The 20,388-nt window shown below is 40.8% G+C and overlaps 1 protein-coding gene across 1 annotated transcript in view; it reads right to left on the bottom strand.

Annotated features, from left to right (window-relative positions):
• Positions 1-20,388, bottom strand: part of CNTNAP2 (contactin associated protein 2) — a 2,304,198-nt gene that overhangs the window by 334,190 nt on the left and 1,949,620 nt on the right. The gene's annotated exons all lie outside the window — the stretch shown is intronic.

The following is a 20,388-nucleotide window of genomic DNA, read 5'->3' as shown; positions in this document are numbered from 1 at the left end:
TCCTTAGACACCTGGATCTGTGTCCTCACCAAGAATCAGCTGGATCCTGACACAGATCCTGCAGTTGGCTGCTCTCAGGTAGTTAGTTTTCATTTGGATATGGTAATATTTTTGAACCCTAAGAAGCTATAAAAATAGAAAAATAGCTGATATGTTAAGAATATAACCCAGGAAAAGACTAAGAAGAAAAATGTGAGTCCGGACAAGGGTCACATTCACTATATTAGCACATTTATAACTGATTTTAATCTAAAAATACTGATTACCTTTGTATTTACAACAATTTTGTGAGAGTTTTGCATATTGAAATGCATTTAAAATATTTAGGAAAATTAGATACATCAAAATTTTTATTTCAATGAAATGCTTAGAGACATTGTGATCAATATTTCAGTGTTTGGAAAATTTAATTTGTTGGAGCACTAGTTTTTGATTGTTAGTTGCATTGAGTAGATAAGTAACCTATAGATACTTGAGAAATGTTGATACTTTTGTTTAAATAAATGTATATTATTTAATTCATAAAACTAAAAAATGGGCATTAAAGAAAGTGCAAAGAGAAGTGTTTCTAAAAGCAAAAGAGGTCTTTCTAAAACCCCTTTGTCATCAATTATCATAACTATCAATTATCATAAGGACATAGTTTCAAATCCCCCTCAACACACCAAGTAATTGTGCTCAATTTCTAGTTGGGCAAACTAAACTTCCTGAGACTCCTTTTTCTTCTGTGTATTACATCTGAAGGTTGTTTCATAAGAAAATAAGACATTTAATAATTTAAGAGAGACAGATCTAGGCTTAGAACTGGTAAAAAGTAGAAATTCAATAAATGCAATAGAAAGGTGACTGAAAATTTAATATGGCAGAATAACTTGATTGAAAAATGGTTGTCTGTGTCATAGTATCATTTCCTTCATTTAATTGGTTATAAGGCCAGGCTTGGTGGCTCACACCTGCTATCCCAACACTTGGGAGGCCAAGGTGGGAGGATCACCCAGGAGTTCGAGGCTGAAGTGTGCCATGTTCATGCCACTGCACTCCAGCCTGGGCAACAGAGCAAGACAGACTGACAGGAAGGAAGGAGGGAAGGAAGGAAGGAAGGAAGGAAGGAAGGGAAAGAGAAAAAAGAAAGGAAGAAAGAATATATTTAATCATAGAAGATTCTCAGATTGTCAAAATTTCAAAATTATAAAATGAATGAAAATTTGATTAAAAGTTCAGAAATCACGGTACTAACTAATAATCTTTTCAATTTGGGAGCTGAAAAACACGGGTATTCTTTTAAAATTAGTTCAGATACAGCACTTAGAGGGGTTAGTCAATTGGTGTATATGTAATATGTATGTATATATGTATATTTAATAGAAGAGATTTTACAAGGCCTTTAAACTTGTGAGAATAAAAAACTATTTTGAAAAGCTATGTTGATGCTTAACAACCCAAGCTATATCCTTATAAAATAGAAAAATTCACATTTGAAGCTCAATCCTTAAGAATCATCATTTTTCTCATAAAATTTTCTGAGCTTTATATAATAGCCCTAGGCAGGAACACATCTGACTTGTACTGAATTTTTAGACCTCGATGTATTTACATAAATAATCCAAAGGGAAATAGGTTGTTTCCAACAGCTTTAATTAGTTTTCCATATATATAGGTCATAACTGGGTTTTACTTAGATATTACATTTAGTAATGGCTGTTAAATATAAATTGAGTGTGTACCTGGGAGCATTAATTCATAGACATCTCACAAAGAATATGGAACATCAACACAGCTTTCCCATTACTCAAACTTTTATCACTAGCCTGAAATTGACCGACTAAATGACTGTCGTGGGTAACACATAATGCTGTAAAACTTATTACAGAATAAAAAGCTTGAGGGATCATTGGAGTGTTTAACATCAGGACTGGCTTGTTTTCCCATTACACTTGATAAAAGAACCAGCCAAATTGCCTTGAATGAAACTTTATTAAACAAACAATGTCAGTTCTATACCTATGCACTCCTCTAGGAGAGTGTGGATTATTTTGATCATAATAAGAGCACTTCCCAGCCCTTCCTCATGATTTCTCTGGACAAGAGACCCAAATGATTAGCATGTAAATGACCTGTCATATTATTAAATTGTTATTGCAGTGAATTAATACAATTAAGCAAGTAATATAATTTCAGTGCAATCTTCTTTACATTAAAATGCCATTCCCTTCTTTCTTCCTGTCTAGCATAGCAAAAAAGAGGAAAGAAAAAAGAAAGAAAGAAAAAAGGAAGAAAGAAAAGATAATGATTTTAAAGAATTTTCAGCAAAGAATTATATTCAAGGTCTGAGAGCCACAAGAGTCTAAAGATAAAAGAAGAGAAAAATGCTCTGGGCTTCCGACCTGTGACATTCTGCACAGTCCCGGGGCAGAGAGCCAAGCCTCTACTGTTTTGCTGCCAGGGAGTTTAATAGAAAGATCTGCTCTTTGATCACTGTGTGGGATTCTGTGACTGAGGAAGAGCCCTGGCCCCTCTCCTAGCACCACCAAAGCCTCTGTAAAACTCTTATGTGGCTTCCACCAGGTGGCAGCAGGAAACAAGGTTTGCACAAAAATTGATGTCTTGGTCTAGAGTAATGAACGCATTAAAAGAAAAATGAATTGCCACAGTCCTGTGAGAATTCATATTAACAAACTCTGCTTTAAGAAAATAAAGTCTCCTGTGAAAATTTTTCTCAAGTGTGAGTTGTTGCAGCAAAAGAGAAATTTCAACTTTCAGGGGATCTTAAAATCAGAATGTAACATTTTGGAAACAGACGGATCTGTGATACTACATCTATGGTCACCTACGGAGTGTCAGATCCTGGTTTAAAAAGCACTGGCTTAAATGGTAAGGAAAGAAGGTATTTTTTTCTCTTTCCCTCTTAAGAAAACAAGTGCAATTCATGGAGACTCTTAGTTATGTAATTTCTAGAAATTAACACAAGTGACAGATAAAGGATTTGCTGAGTACACAGTAGGTATTCATTAAGTAATTGTATTTCTTTCTGCACTTTTGCAGAAAGTGTGAGTCTCCAAAGACTCCTGCGTCCCCAGAGACTTCTGAGAGGCTCTAGAGATAAGTCACATAACTGCCAAGCTTGAATGTTCTAAGAAATAAACATTATCAACCTCTTCCTTCAAATGCCAGTATTTTATTTCATGCATAAAAGGAAAGGTATGCAGAATGTTTGAATGTTTCTGCCCTTGGTGGAAATAGGGACTGCTAGTCTCTTCAGGGAGTAAAACATGTAAATCTCAGTCCACTTTCTCCTCTCTGCCTCTGGTTTCAGTCACCTTCTCTTCCACATGCTAACCTACCTGTGACTCCTAATTCTTCACTCCCACCCTCGGAATGTGCATCATTCCTGCCTCGTTTTCTCCCTTACAAATGTGTTCATGCTATGAAGGGAACCGAAGTGGAGTCAGAAGAAACCCACTGCCCCCCACTCTGCAACCTTATGTCATTTCTCTAATGTTATTATGAAAGGTAACTGAGAAAATGTCAGTGTCAGCCATAAATTATCATGTGCATTTAAGAAAATCATTATTTTTGAGCGTCTTCCTATGTTGCTTTCCTTCTGCTTTCAGGTATCTCCCATCTCGACAAAGCAACACAACAAAGCAATGGGATAAATCTGCTGTCCCCTTAGGGTGCAGATCCTCTTCATCCACTGATCTGGAGTGGACAGTATACACCAGTGTCCTGTATACCCTCTTTATTTCCCCTTGTCTTTTATAATGTGACTGTCCCAGAATCTAAAGCTAATGAAGTGCATTCTCTACAACCACCAAGAGAATCCCAAAGTTCAGGCCGGGTGCAGTGGGTCACGCCTGTAATCTCAGCACTTTGGGAGGCAGAGGCAGGTGGATCACGAGGTCAAGAGATCGACACCAGCCTGGCCAACATGGTGAAACCTCATCTCTACTAAAAATACAAAAATTAGCTGGGCGTGGTGGCACACACCTGTAGTCCCAGCTATTTGGGAGGCTGAGGCAGGAGAATTGCTTGAACGCAGGAGGTGGAGGTTGCAATAAGCTGAGATGGTGCCATTGCACTCCACGCTGGTGACAGAGTGAGACTCTGTCACAAAACAAAAAAAAAGAAAGAAAATCTCAAACTTCAAATCCAATGGCCTTTCCTTGGTCCTCATTCTCTTTGCTTTCTCCTTAAACCTGCGAATCCCCCACCTCCCTGAAGCTCTCTCTCTTGACTTTCATACCACAATGAGCGTCCTGGTTCTCTTCCACATCAGCTTTATTTGATGCCTTTTGCGTCTCTGACCACACTCCTCCTCTATCTCCTTCCCTAGCCTCGCCTCATATGCCTTTGCTGTGGATATTACAAGAGATGCAATCAATAAGTGTTCCCTCCAAGTTGCTCCTCCCATAACTCATAAGAGAAAAACCTCACTAGCTTGGATTTTCCCCTGGGCTTCAGTCTAGCGTCCTCAGTTTCTGGGTGTTCACTGGATGCCCTTCAGCCCTTGTCATCTGGGCCAAAATACAAGTATTGTTCTAGTTCTGTTGGTCCCAACCCTGACTTAACCCTTTTAGCTTTTATCCACAGCCACTCAGTTCCACTGTTGTGATTCTTATTTTGAAATGGCTCATATATCTCTTCCATTCATTCATCTCTTCCTTTCATTCTATTCCTACTGCAATGCCCTTCTTTAAAAGCCGGCCTGATGACTCCCACCTGTAATCCCAGTGCTTTGGGAGGCCAAGGCAGGAGAATCCCTTGAGCCCAGAAGTTCAAGACCGGCCTGAGCAATGTAGTAAGACTCCCATATCTATAAAACATTTAAAAAATTAAAAAAAACAAGCAAACAAAACAATGCCCTTCTCTATGCTTACTCCATCTATCAGCCTATATCTGGTTACTCGCCTTTCCATAACCAACTCCTCCAATCTTGCTCTCGCAAGCCCACTTTCTCACATACATTCATGCCATGAAGTCTTCCCAAATCACTGTCATTTATCATATGCTCGGGAAAAATTACTACCCCCTCAGGCCTCAGTTTCCTGGAGACATGTTTCTTCTCCTTGCCATTCATCCTCCTCTGAGGCTTAGTTCAGATATCCTCTCCTCTCTGTTAGTCAGGGTTCTCTAGAGGGACAGAACTAATAAAATAGATATATATATGGAAATTTATTAAATATTAACTCACATGATTACAATAGGCCATCCGCAAGCTGAAGAGCAAAGAGAGCCAGTCCAATCCCAAAACTGAAGAACCAGGGGTCCAATGTTTGAGGGCAGGAAGCATCAAGCATGGGAGAAAGAGGTAGGCTGGGAGGCTAGGCCAGTCTAGTCTTTTCAAGGTTTTTCTGCCTGCTTTATATTCTAGCCGTGCTGGCAGCCGATTAGATGGTGCCCACCCAGATTAAGGGTGGGTCGGCCTTTTGCAGCCCACGGACTCAAATGTTAATCTCCTTTGGCAACACTCTCACATACACACCCAAGATCAATACTTTGCATCCTTCAATCCAATCACGTTGACACTCAGTATTAACTATCACACCCTCCATGAAGCTTTCTCAGGTCCCCCTCACCCAATAAAAAAATCACACTTTGGAATAGAATAGCCCTTACTTTTCCAGTACACAGTGGCCTACTATGAATTGCATCATTTTGCTTAAGATACTAACTTCTTCACATGTTTCTTTGTCATTGAGATTTTACATTTCTTTAGGGAAGTCTGTGCGTCTTATCCTTGTTTCCATTGCAGTACTTAGCAGATGCATGATATAAATGCTCAACACATAAAGATATACCATCTGTATGCACGGTTTCCACCTATGCCTTGAGTCTCCTTTATTCTTTCCTCCCCGTCTCTAACACCTAAGAATCCATCCACATACATATTTTTGTGAAAGAATACAATGAAAATAGCTGTATGATGAGGACAATTCACACAGCTTTGAGAATGCACTTCCTCATCTGCAAACAAGATCCCCACGTATGTTGACATTTGAGATTTGTTTCCTCACATTTCCCCCCCTGCTCTATAATTTTGATCACTGATACCAGTAAAAGTGTTCCTAGATAAAATATGCATTGCATAGTGAAGGTCTAAATTAAACAGTTTTTGGATTATTACCATTCTTTGGCAAGGCATAGGTAGGTAGTGCATCAGGCTTTATCAGTTTTCTTTTCTTTTCTTTTTTTTTTTTTTTTTTTGAGATGGAGTCTTGCTCTGTTGCCCAGGCTGGAGTGCAGTGGTGCAATCTCGGCTCGCTGCAAGCTCTGTCTCCCAGGTTTATGCCATTCTCCTGCCTCAGTCTCCTGAGTAGCTGGGACTACAGGCGCCGCCACCACGCCAGGCTAATTTTGTTGTATTTTTAGTAGAGATGGGGCTTCACCGTGTTAGCCAGGACGGTCTCGATCTCCTGACCTCGTGATCCGCCTGCCTCAGCCTCCCAAAGTGCTGGGATTACAGGCTTGAGCCACCGTGCCCGGCCGCTTTATCAGTTTTCTTAGGGGCATTTACACCAAAAGCTGATCACTTGAATGGATAAGTTTATCAGTCAGGATGAGCTGGGCTTTGCTGCAGGACAAACAACCCTGACATCTTAGTGGCTTAACAAGGCAAATGTTTATTTCTTGCATCTGCTATATGCTCATTGTAAGACAGGCTCCCCACTATGTCATCTTTACTCTGGGGTGCAGGATGAAGCTGACAGAACCACAATCAACCTGGAGTGTTGCTGTTTGCAGTGATGGCTGACTCTCATAGGGAGACAACTTGGTGAACTGCACATTAGCTCTTAGAGACTTTGGCACAACAGTGATACAGGTTACTTCTGCCTCCACATCATAAGCCAAAAATAACATTTTAAGCCCCACAGCCATCTGAATTGGCCTCTCCTCTCAGCCAAGGGCATTCCAAAGTTAACCTGAAAAACTAGTTCAGGTCATGATGGGGAGTGGGGGTTGCACATGCCTCATTATACCCTCCTCCCTTTGGAATCCAGGCACAGCTGACCAGCATTAACATTAATAGAGATCTTAAGACTTTCTGTAGCAATAAGACACCCAAATCCAGCCTGACTCTAGTATAGCATTACATGACAGATAGCAGGTCCTGAAAGAAATCCAAGTATTTTGTCTTAAAATATATTTCTTTGGCAATTTTTGAAATGGCCCTGCAAAGCTGTCTCTTGTGGGGAAAAATCTAACTTCTGTAGAGAATCCCTTTCCATTTCCAGGTCTTTTCCCTAATCCAGGAGAGAATTCACTGAGTCTGGCACCTTTTTAAGTCTGATAAGAAACATTTACAATCTATTCTCTCCAAAGCCGGCTACCTGTAGGCTTTGTATAATAAGAGCCTTGGTCTCTACAACCACTTATCTTAATCCAGACACTCCCTTCTATGGATTCCAGATCTTTAGATAAACTCAACCAATTGAAATTACAATAGGACATCTGGGCAACATCATGAGAATCTGCCTATGACCTGGAAGGCCCCCTTCTACCCTTGGCTTCCAGTTGTCCTGCTTTTCCAGACAAAACCAAAGTATATCTTACATGTATCGAGTGATGTCTTATGTCCCCCTAAAATGTATAAAACCAAGCTGTAGCCCGACCACCTTGGGCACATGTTTTCAGGATTTCCCGGGACCATTGGTCACTCATATTTGGCTCAGAAGAAATCTCTTCAAATATTTTACAGAATTTGACTCTTTCTGTTGACAACATCATAGACCCAGGCAAGTCACATGCCATACAGATCTACAATTCAAGCAACGATATGCAGTGAGAATTATTCAAGATGTAGACACCACCATTCAATCACTAGAAAAATGTGCCCATTTCTTCCTCATTTTTCCCTTCTACAAATACTGTTCATAGGTTGAAAAAGCTATTTGTTGTGACATTTCTAACAAATTTGAGAGAAAGTAAACATGTTTTAAAATCTAGATTTCAATGTATTTATTATTTTTAAAAATATGTAATTTTTTCTTCTCGGAAAATCAAGTTAAAAATGTCAAAAATCTATTCTCAGGCTGGGCATGATGGCTTATGCCTATAATCCCAGCACTTCAGGAGGCCGAGGCTGGTGGATCATCTGAGGTCAGGGGTTAGAGACCAGCCTGGACAACATGGTGAAACCCTGTCTCTACTAAAAATACAAAGATTAGCTGGGCATGGTGGTGGGCACCTGTAATCCCAACTACTCAGGAGGCTGAGGCAGGAGAATCGTTTGAACCTGGGAGGTGGAAGTTGCAGTGAGCCGAGATGGCACCATTGCACTCCAGCCTGGGCAACAAAAATGAAACTCGGCCTAATATATATATATTCTCAAATCATAGGTGTAAAAAAAATGTTAAAAATAAGTATTTAAAACTCATTATTATTTTAGATTGGATGAAATAGAGAACAGGAAAATTATGCAATTTAAAAGAAGTGGCCAGGTGGGGTGGCTCAATGCCTTGCTCAACGCCTGTAATCGCAGAACTTTGGAAGGTCAAGGCAGGCAGATCACTTGATGCCAGAAGTTTGAGACAAGCCTGGCCAACATGGCAAAATGCCATCTCTACTAAAAATACAAAAATGAGCCTGGCATGCTGGCATGCACCTGTAATCCCAGCTACTTGAGAGGCTGAGGCATGAGAATCGCTTGAACCCAGGAGGTGGAGGTTGCAGTGAGCTGAGATCACACCACTGCACTCCAGCCTGGGTGACAGAGCAAGATTCTGTCTAAAAAAAAAACAAAACAATGATTATGTTTTTGGGTACATTAATCTTTTTAATATCTGAAACCATACTCTATTAAAATTAATATTGTAATATTCTATTAAAGTTGAATCCAATTATAGTAACTCTGTGGTATAATCCCAGACTTTGTATGAGAAGGAGTTTATTTTGGCAGTAAAACTGGTAAGAAAAACAAGAACAGAATAAATCATCAGAAGCTTGCTGAATTTTATTTTTAAACAAAATAGTGTATATCAACTTCTAATTGGTAACTTGTATGTATGTAACATAATAGGAAATACTTGAATAAGGTCCTTGTTTATTTTCTAGTTTAGGCCAATTCTAAAGAGTTACAATTAGCCAGGTGATACTTTTACTGATGAGACAATTCAGTCAAAATGTGTAATTGTACTGCCTCCATTTAGTCTTGAGTGTATAGTTTTATATCCGAAAAAAAGAAAGATTTTCAAACAAACAACGTACTAATTCTGGTCTGTTAAAGACTCTAAGGGGCATTTTGAATTTGTTTATTTGAATCTCCCCAGGGTTTCTTGAAATGGGAAGAGCTCACAACCTTTATGGTCTGTGCCATGCAGCTCTTAAGCAACAAAGCAGGGAACATCTGGGGAAAGACAAAAAGAGGCCCAGAAATTATCATTCATAAAAATTAGGATTTGCTTTTCAGAACCACAGATAGAAACACATGTAGAAGCAGATGTTTCCTTAAATATGAATTAGAACTTTCATATTGTTAGTATGTGTGGTAATTTTTTTTTTTTTTGAGATGAAGTCTTGCTGTGTTGCCCAGGCTGGAGTGCAATGGCGTGATCTCGGCTCACCACAAAATCCACCTCCCAGGTTCAAGCGATTCTCCTGCCTCAGCCTCCTGAGTAGCTGGGATTACAGGCATGTACCCCCACACCTGGCTAATTTTGTATTTTTAGTAGAGAAGGGGTTTCTCCATGTTGGTCAGGCTAGTATCGAACTCCCGACCTCAGGTGAGCCACCCGCCTTGGCCTCCCAAAGTGCTGGGATTACAGACGTGACCCACCATGCCCCGCCTGTATATATGGTAGTATTAATATTTCTCAAGCTTGAAGGAAATCCAACATTGTGGTTCAGATTGCTCTGTCTGATCCAGTCTACCCCATGCATACAGAGTTTGTGCTGGTAAAACTTTATCCATACAGCTAGATGAATGCCAAGAAACCTTGTTTCAAATAGATTGCTAACATTCACTGCATTTACTAACATTTGGTAGGAGGCAGAGGCTTTTGTGATGGTGGAAAGTAAGAGGGGAGATATGAAACTGATGAACACAGTTGACTTAGAAGTCAGAGCTATCGGCCGGGCACGGTGGCTCACACCTGTAATCCCAGCACTCCAGCACTTTGGGAGGCAGAGATGGGTGGATCACGAGGTCAGGAGATCGAGACCATCCTGGCTAACACGGTGAAACCCCGTCTGTACTAAAAATACAAAAAATTAGCCGGGCATGGTGGCGGGCTCCTGTAGTCCCAGCTGCTCGGGAGGCTGAGGCAGGAGAATGGCATGAACCTGGGAGATCGAGCCTGCAGTGAGCCGAGATCGGGCCACTGCACTCCAGCCTGGGTGAAAGAGTGAGACTCTGTCTCAAAAAAAAAAAAAAAAAAAAAAAAAAAAAAAGAAGTCAGAGCTATCATAGGTCTACACCAGGGTGTCTCCATTTTGGCATTCTTGACATTTTGGGCGAGATCATTCTTTGTTGCGGGGCATTGTCCTACACATTGGAGGTGTTCAGCAGCATCCGTGGCCTCTACTCTCTAGATATCAACAACATGCCCAAGTAAAAATATCTCCAGTCATTGCCAAATGTCTCCTGGAGAAAAAAAGTCACCCTCCTGAGAACTACTGGTCTCCATGGACAGTATTTGCCACCCTTGAATCTGAACTGTAGACTTCCTGAAGACATCACTTTTTAAATATTTCATTTAATTCTAGGTTTTCTGTAATAACTTAAGTCTTTCATTACATCAGATTATGTGATTTATCATTTATATTCATTCTTATTGCCCACATTCTTCCTTTACAGGTGTTTACTTGTCTAAATACCTATGAAGACTGTACGGGGAGGAAAAATGAGAAACATCACAGAATTCAGAGACATACAGGCTACTTTCGACTCATCACCAAACTCTTCCAAATATTTGATTAGAAATTTTTGGCACCACTTTGATAACAATATTTGAATAGCTCTGGAGTGTAACAACGGTACTATGTGGTTGCTTTCCCAAGCTATAGCCAGGTCATAAAATCAACGGATTTGTGGAATTACACAGTCTAATCCCTCTATTTGGGGGGATTTAAAAACAAGTTCAGAAAATATAAGACTTTCCCTGTCAATGACAGCAACCAGAGGCAAAAATCCAGATTCCTTTTCAAACCATGTTGTTCTATCTCTTTAAAAGTTATAATTTTTGTTGTTGTTGCTGAGGCTCCATTTTTTATCACTTGTATCTGAAAGTGAGCTGTTCAAATGTGCCCTGCAGGACTCTCTTACTCCTTCAGAGACTTGAGTAAAGTAGCTTTACTTCAGTAGAGCAAGTGGTCCTTCACTCACTGGAAATCATGTATTTCAGGCAGAAGCAGCATTATTAATTTTTTTTTTTTTTGAGATTAAGTTTTGCTGTGTCACCCAGGCTGGAGTGCAGTGGCACGATCTCAGCTCACTGCAATCTCTGTCTCCCGGGTTCAAGCGATTCTCTTGCCTCAGCCATCTGAGGAGCTGGGATTACCAGTGCCTGCCACCAGGCTTGGCTAATTTTTGTAATTTTAGTAGAGACGGGGTTTCACCATGTTGGCCAGGCTGATCTTGAACTCCTAACGTCAGGTGATCCACCTGCCTTGGCCTCCCAAAGTGCTGGGATGACAGGCATGAGCCACCACACCTGACCTAATTTTTTTTTATACTGAAACATCAAGTAATCAAATAGCTATAGGACTTTGTAGGAAGTTAAGGTAAAAATATTGACAGTTTAGCTATGAAAAAATGGGAAGGAGAAATATTCTTTAGAATACATAACTCAGCATTCTATAGAACTTTCCGTGCAATTTAGAAAAACTTTCTTTGATGAATTGTAAAAAATGATAAAATTATAATCTAAAGTGAGAAGCAGAAGTTTGTTTATACCAATAATTTAAAGATGGGGATGAGAAAGTGTTGATAAAAATAAGAATGTTTCTCTGCCTTTGAGACATCATGGCAGAACATCATCTACTGTGTGTCATTGGCCTGTAAACTATCTAAAAGCTAAGAGTAGGTGTCTCACACTTTGCATATCAGAAGAAAACTTGGAGAAAAGATAAATTTATGGAAAAAGGATTTCTATAAATTAATTTAGATTCTCAATTTTTTTTTTTTTTGAGACAGTCTTGCTCTTTTGCCCCGGCTGGAGTGCAGTGGCGCAATCTCGGCTCACTGCAACCTCCACCTCCGAGTTCAAGCGATTCGCCTGCATCAGACTCCCAAGTAGCTGGGATTACAGGCACCTGCCACCACGCCCAGCAATTTTTGTATTTTTAGTAGAGACGGGTTTCACCATGTTGGCCAGGCTGGTCTTGAACTCCTGACCTCAAGTGATCAACCCGCCTCGGCCTCCCAAAGTGCTGGGATTACAGGTGTGAGCCACCGGGTCTGGCCTAGATTCTTAATTTAATATCAACTATGTATTCTGTGGCTCCCACCTCATCATTCAAGTGGTCTGGTCAAATGGACAAAGTCCTTTCATCGAATATTAATCTTTGTAGTCCACTGTCAGGTGCACACTGTATGGTTTGAGTGTAAGGAGGTGGAAAGAGGAAAAATGGGAAAGGAATATAGAAAGAGACAAAGCTGGGGGGAAGGGATACTGACTCCTAAGTCCAAAGCATAAGCACTCTAACGCCACCATCTAAGTTCCAATAACGGGCTCTCTTAAGCCTAGGATTTCTTCAGTGGTTATTAACTTGGAGGTAGTACGGAAATTCTCTTTTATGTGCAGGTTATACATTCCCAGAGCCCCAGTGAATGTCTGAAACTTCAGATAATACTGGACCCTATGTATACCGTCATCTCTCGCTATCTATGGGGGATTGGTTCCAGGACCCCCTTCTATACCAAAATCCGAGCACATTCAAGTATGGAAGTGAGCCATCCAGAACCCTCCCAGATGAAAAGTCAGTCAGCTCTCTATATACATGGGTTTCAAATCTTGTGAATACTATATTTGTGTCTTGCCTTGGTTGCAGGTTCAGAACCCATTGATATGGAGGGCCTGCTGTATTTATTGAAAAAAAAAACACATAAAAGAAGACTACACAGATCAAATCTGTGTTGTTCAAGGGTCAGCTGTACCATATTTTTTTCCAATACATACACATCTATGTAAAGTTTAATTTATAAATGAGGCACAATAGAATATTAACAGCAGTAACTAATAAGATAGAACAATTACAATAATATACCATAATAAAAGTAAAGTAAGGAATTTTTGAATGGAAGCACTGCAATACCTCTACTGTTGAGCCAATAATCCAGAAGTCTACTAAGTGACTCAGGAACAGGTAGCAGCTACCGCGTGGATATGCTGGACAAATGGCTGGTTCAAGTCTCTGGTGGGATGGTGTAAGATTTCATCATACTACTTGGAAGAGCACACAATTTAAAACTGATGAATTATTTTTCAAATTTTCCATTTAATATTTTTAGACTTTGGTTGATCTCTGGTAACTGAAACCACAGAAAATGAAACTGTAGGTAAGGGGAAGACCACGGTATTATGGTTTCTACATTAGAAGCATGAGAATCCAATGGCTATCTCTCAGGTGACACATGACGCTATCTTATACTACGCAGCCTACCAGCTCATATTTTATGCGGTGTATTCTAAGTTTTCAGTGTATTAGACCAGTGATTTTCAACTGGGGGCAATTTTGTCCCCAAAGGTCATTTGTCAATGTCTGTAGATTTTCTAGTTGTTGCAATTGGGGGATGTAGGGTGTTAATGGCATTTAGTAGGCAGAGGCCAGAGATGATATGACACATCTTAAAATACAAAAGACAGGCCAGGCACGGTGGCTCACACCTGTAATCCCAGTACTTTGGGGGGCCGAGGCGGGCAGATCACCTGAGGTCAGGAGTCTGAGACAAGCCTGGCCAATATGGCAAAACCCCATCTCTACTAAAAATACAAAAATTAGCCAGGTATGGTGGTGGGTACCTGTAATCCCAGCTACTGGGGAGGCTGAGGCAGGAGAATCGCTTGAACCTGGGAGGTGGAGGTTGCAGCGAGCCAAGATCGCACTACTGCACTCCAGTCTGGGCTACAGAGTGAGATGCTGTCTCAAAACAAAAACAAAAGACAGTCCACAACAAAGAATTATCTGTCCCAAAGTATTACTAGTGCTGAGGGTCAGAAAACCTGTAGTAAGCATTCTGTTAACCGTTTAGATAATGGGTTGGCAAACTATGGCCCATGGCCTGCTGCCTGTTTTTGTGCGACCCACAGGCTAAGAATGGCTTTTGTCTTTTTAAAAGGTTAAAGAAGAGATTTTTAAAAAATTATTTCCTTACACATAAAATTTGCATGAAATTCAAGTTTTTAGTGTCTATAAAAAAGATTTTATTGGAGCACAACCATACCCATTTTTTTTTAAACATACCTTGTCTACTTCTGCTCTCACAATATGATGGCAGAGTTGAAAAGTTGTGACCGACACCACATGGCTCAAAAAGCCTGAAATACTATCTGGTCCTTTACAGAAAAAGCTTGCCAAACAAATCCTGCTCTACAGACACATCAAATGAGCTGACATTAATATAGCAAGGTGGTAGGATAGACTTTAGCTTAACTCTTAGAAGAGTTCCATTGCTTGGAGATTTAGAGTGTTTATTATTTTCTGAACTCAGGGGTAAAGGTAGGAGGGAGGATATGAAGAAATCCTAAAAAACAATTATAAATCAGGCTGTGACAATAAATAAGTATATGTGTGGGGTGGAAGGGGGAGGAGATGCCATGAATTATTGCCACCTGAAAAGAAAGATAATTGTTTACATGATTAACTAATACGCTAGTCAGATAATGAGTAAGTAAAGCTATTTGCTACGAAGCGCAGGGTCAGTGGTCCTGTCTCTTGGAAATTTTTATAGCTATTTGAAGAGCACACCACAACCTTGAAGAGTGAACTACCCATGAATTTTCAAATGACTTCTCCAGCTTCTTTCTCAAAAAATAAATAAGCCTCAAGCAGGCAATGGTGAATTGAAGACTTGTATACAGCATTTATAAAACTTACTGACAGTAGAGATTGCAGAGGAGTTTTCACAAGGTAAGTATTTATGGAAAAAGAATCAAAATCCTCAATTCATACCTTCAGAAATGGCATTAACATTACTCTTTTCCTTTTAGGAAGGTTGCCAATGATACTGAATGGCAATACTGCCTGCGAAGCTGTCTGTCTAGGAATTCCATTACTCTAAAAAGTATTTACAGATGATTCGCACCTTCCTCAAGACATTACTTTCTCCTTCTGCTGTTCCTCTCACACTAGATATTTTATCCATATTTTGTGTGTGTATGTGTGTGTGTGTGTGAGATGGAGTCTCGCTCTGTCACCCAGGCTGGAGTGCAGTGGCACAATCTTGGCTCACTGCAACCTCCACCTCCTGGTTCAAGCAATTCCCCTGCCTCAGCCTCCAGAGTAGCTGGGATTACATGCACCTGCTGCTATGCCCAGCAATTTTTTTTTGTATTTTTAGTAGAGACGGGGTCTCACCATGTTGGCCAGACTGGTCTCGAACTCCTGACCTCAGGCAATCCGCCCGTCTCGGCCTCTGAAAGTGCTGGGATTACAGGCGTGAGCCACTGCACCTGGCAAGATTCTCCTGATGATGTGTGACAGGAAGATATTTGTACTTGGTCTCATAAAACTGGGATATGTTTGGGGAAAGAGTGAAAAGCTATCAAAAAGATGTTCTACATTTGAGCCCTGAGAAACTTATAATGATAAACATTGTTAGAAAATACTTTATTTTTGAAGTAGAAGAGGCTAAATTCTACTTTATTTATGTGGGGAAAATTTTGGAAAAAAGAAAAATTAAATGATTAAAAGGAATTTTAAGATGTATTAGTTTTAGTACATTGGAGGTATGAGGGGGTTAGTAACAATACCTTCTAATTCAAATAATTCCTGATTCATTTACCTGATATTGCTCAGAAATAAGAAATGTTTTCCATATAACAAAGTTTACCACTATTGAATAGTGTATTCCAGGATAAAAATTATTTTGGTGTCAGAATTATTCAAATGCAAAACTGTTTCTTATTTAATTTAATTAATTAATTTATTTATTTTAGAAGGAGTCTCGCTCTGTCACCCAGGCTGGAGTGCAGTGGTGTGATCTCGGCTCACTGCAACCTTTGCCTCCTGGGTTCAAGCAATTCTTCTGCCTCAGCCTCCCAAGTAGCTGGGACTACCAGGTGTGCACCACCATGCCTGGCTAATTTTTGTATTTTTAGTAGAAACAGGGTTTTGCCATATTGGCCAGGCTGGTCTCAAACTCCTGACCTCAGGTGATCCACCTGCCTCGGCCTCCCGAGTGCTGGGATTACAGGCATGAGCCACGGTGCCCAGCCCAAAACTGTTTTTTAAGAAATAAAAAACATTTAAAAATATAATCAAAGGTTTAATTAAAAGTTATTAACAGAGGTTTGCTTTTTTAACAGCAAGTTCATTATCTGAGTCTTCATTCCTTAATATGCTAGTGATAGACTTCTCAGTGCAATGTCTATTTCAGAGGATTCTATGTCCTTGCCCTTTTAAACAAATTGTCAGTTTTTATTTTTCCTTGTATTTGTTGTATTTACATTTAATATCTTCATCTCAGCATCTACAATTCACTTTTATTATGTTGTGGACTTTAAGCCAGAGAACTAAACATGATAAGACTGATATTCTTAGCAGATAATATATTAGTTACAGAGCCTGGATTGAAATCTGAGCCATGCCATTTTTTAACTATGGGATCTTGGGGAATTTGCTTAGCCTGCTTCTTTATCCATAAACTGGAGATGATAATAGCTTACTTATGCAGTTGTCAGAGAATTAAATACATCCACATATGTAAAATGCTTAGAATAGTGACTGGCACATATTCAGATAATATCTAGAATCTAATTTTTAGAGCAAGTATTTTATTAGGCACACATTTTTCACCAAAATCTCTGTCTGAGTCTTAGTTTTAGAGAGTTGAGATGGAGATGCATATGTCCCCTCCCCATTCTTTCTTTCTTTCTTTTTTTTTTTTTTTTTGAGACGGAGTCTTTGTCTGTCACCCAGGCTGGAGTGCAGTGGCGCAATCTTGGCTCACTGCAAGCTCTGCCTCCCAGGTTCACGCCATTCTCCTGTCTCAGCCTCCCGAGTAGCTGGGACTACAGGCGCCCGCCACCATGCCCGGCTAATTTTGTGTTTTTAGTAGAGACGGGGTTTCACCGTGTTAGCCAAGATGGTCTCAATCTCCTGACCTCGTGATCCGCCTGCCTCGGCCTCCCAAAGTGCTGGAATTACAGGTGTGAGCCACCGTGCCCGGCCTCGCCCTTCTTTTTGATTGCTTATGTCCCTCTCTTGTCATTTCTCCAGAAGTTGTCTATTGGGATTTCTTAGACCACAGAAACTTCATTCACCCTTCTTTTCCCTGTCTCCACTCAGAGTATTAATTAAAGATTAATCCTGAAGCCTGGGGGCCTAAACTGACATCCAGGAAAGCCTTAGGAGCATTTGCATACACTTATGAAGTCCTTATAAAACTTTACATTTTAATTAGCTGACAACAGTTAAAAATCATAAGACTAGAAACTTCTACTTCCAGCCGAGAAGGAGTAGCAGGATTTGACTTACTCTTGTCTGAAACAACTAAAAGACTGGACAAAATATATAAAACAGTCATAGAGATCAGGCAGGGCAGGGCAGTTATGTCTGAGAGACAGACACAAACAATGTGAACCCCACAATTGCTTCAGCCTACTGCCTGATAAAATTTTCTGGGTCTCAGTGCAGGGAAGGGAAACTTAGGAACCTGGTGAGCTCCTTACTTGAGGAGACAGAGTTGGTAGTCTAGGGTCTTCAGAACAGAATACCAGACAGGAGAGAGCTGTACAGAGAGAAAACTTAAGTGATCTGCAGAAGTGTCCCTTAAGTCTTCAGCAAGGTACCAATAAATTCATGTGTGTAATAAAACAACCTGGGTCAGAGAAAACTCACCTGAAAGGAGCTGAGGGAACAACCTACTCACACAGATTAAGAATAATTCATGTTCCCACCAGTCTGAGTGCAAAACCTTGTAACTCAGGGTATTAGGTACAGTACTCAAAAGGAAATTATAACATTATTGGGAAAAAATCAGCCCTAGAAAAGGGCTGTGCTGGTCTCACCTCATGAAGTCTAAAAGCAAGTCTCCAAAGGATCAACTGTTTTCAATAAGTTAATTTCATCCCAGAACAAAGCTTAAGCATAATATAGGATATAAAAATATCTACACTCAACAAAGTGAAATTCACACTGTGAGTGCCCAAAGCGTGAGGAGGGAAAGTCCACTTCTGAACACATACCCTCACTGGGGAACATGTAAATTCAGATCACAGGAGAAGAATTTAACCTTACCTAGAGCTGAAATGAATTTAGAGAGCCCAGTGAAATATAAAACTAGAAGAAGCAGCAGAAAGAGCCCTGTAGGCATTCCTGGTGCCCAGGGAAGCCGTTTCTGACTTTACCTCATAGAGGTTCTTGGGGAGGGCTGCCAGTGGAACTGGGGAAAGACAACAGGGAAAAGGAAACTTCTAGCTGAACTTTGTAATAATTTTGACCAAATATGAATTTTTCTGGGCACAATCTGGGGCAGGGGTGGGGTAGGGGGTGAACAGAAAGTGTAGATATGAGCAAAGAAGCTACAGCAGGTGGGGAGAGGTGGGGCCTGAAAGTCCTGCTTGCTTTCTCAGCTGGGAGGCTTGTAGTCTGGGACAAGACCTCAGCTCTGCTCACCGGCACCTGGATATAAACTCAGTGCTATCGGTGGGGTGCAGTGGGAGTGAGACTGGCCTTGCTGGCTGTGTGGGAAGTGAGTGAGGCCAGTCACTGACGACTTTCCCCCACTTCCCTGGAAACCTATATGACACTGCAGAGCAGCCATAATCCCCCTGGGAACATAACTCCATTGGCCTGAGAACCACACCGCCATCCTCAAAGTGGCTGCAGCAAGCCCTGCCCAAGGGGAGGCTGAGCTCAGACACGCCTAATCCTGGCTCCACCCAGTGGTCTTTCCCTACCTGCCCTGGCAGCTGAAGACAGAAAATACAATCTCTTGGGAGCGCTATGGTCCAACCCATCACCTGAGAAGCCCAAATACCTATTCAGGCAAACTTAGGACAAGCTTGTTTCAGCTGATGCTCTCTTAAAAGTGCCACCTCTTGGCTGGAGGCCAACTAACTGCTAGCACAACCAACATTCAAGAAAACCCATGCACTAAACAAAACTACAACTAAAGACCCTCACACAGTCTACCTCACTTCCCTACTACCTCGACCAGAGCAAGTGCTGGGATCCATGGCTGAGAGACCTGAAGACAGATCATGTCACAGGACTCTTTGCAGATACTCCCCAGTACCAGGTCAGAGTCCAGTAGCTCCACTGGGTGGCTAGACCTAGAAAAGCAATAACAATCACTGCAGTCCAGCTCTCAGTGAGCCCCATCCCTAGGGAAAGGGGGAGAGCACCACATCAAGGCATCACCCCATGGCACCAAAGAATGAACAGCAGGACTTAAACCCCAGCTCTTTCCTCTGAAATGGTCTACCCAAATGAGAAGGAACCAGAAAAACAATTCTGGTAATATGACAAAGCAAGTTTCTTTAACACCCCAAAAGATCACACTAGCTCGCCAGCAATGGGTTCAAACCAATAAGAAATCTTCAAATTGCCAGAAAAATAATTCGGTAGGTTGATTATTAAGATACTCAAGGAGGCACCAGAGAAAGGTGAAAACCAACTTAAAGAAATTTAAAAAATAATACAGGATATGGACAAAAAAATCTCTAGAGAAATACATAACATAAATAAAAGACAATCAAAACTTCTGGAAATGAAAGACACACTTAGAGAAATGAAAAATACGCTGGAAAGTTTCAGTACAATGGAACAAGTAGAAGAAAGAACTTCAGAGATCAAAGACGAGGCTTTTGAATTAACCCAATCCAACAAAGACAAAGAAAAAAGAATTTAAGGCTGGGCGCGGTGGCTCACGCCTGTAATCCTAGCACTTTGGGAGGTTGAGGCAGGCGGATCATGAGGTCAGGAGATCGAGACCATCCTGGCTAACACGGTGAAACCCCATCTCTACTAAAAATACAAAAAAATTAGCTGGGTGTGGTGGTGGGCGCCTGTAGTCCCAGCTACTCGGGAGGCTGAGGCAGGAGAATGGCGTGAATCCAGGAGGTGGAGCTTGCAGTGAGCCGAGATAGCACCACTGCACTCCGGCCTGGGCGAAAGAGTGAGACTCCATCTCAAACTAAAAAAAAAGAAAAAAAGAAAAAAGAATTTAAAAAATGAACAAAGCCTCAAAGAAGTTTGAGCTTATGTTAAATGACCAAACCTAAGAAT

The sequence above is a fragment of the Homo sapiens genome, chromosome 7 (assembly GCF_000001405.40).
Source record: "Homo sapiens chromosome 7, GRCh38.p14 Primary Assembly".
Taxonomy (NCBI): domain Eukaryota; kingdom Metazoa; phylum Chordata; class Mammalia; order Primates; family Hominidae; genus Homo; species Homo sapiens.
Note: the sequence above shows the minus strand (reverse complement) of the source record. Positions and strands in the feature narration are given on the sequence as shown.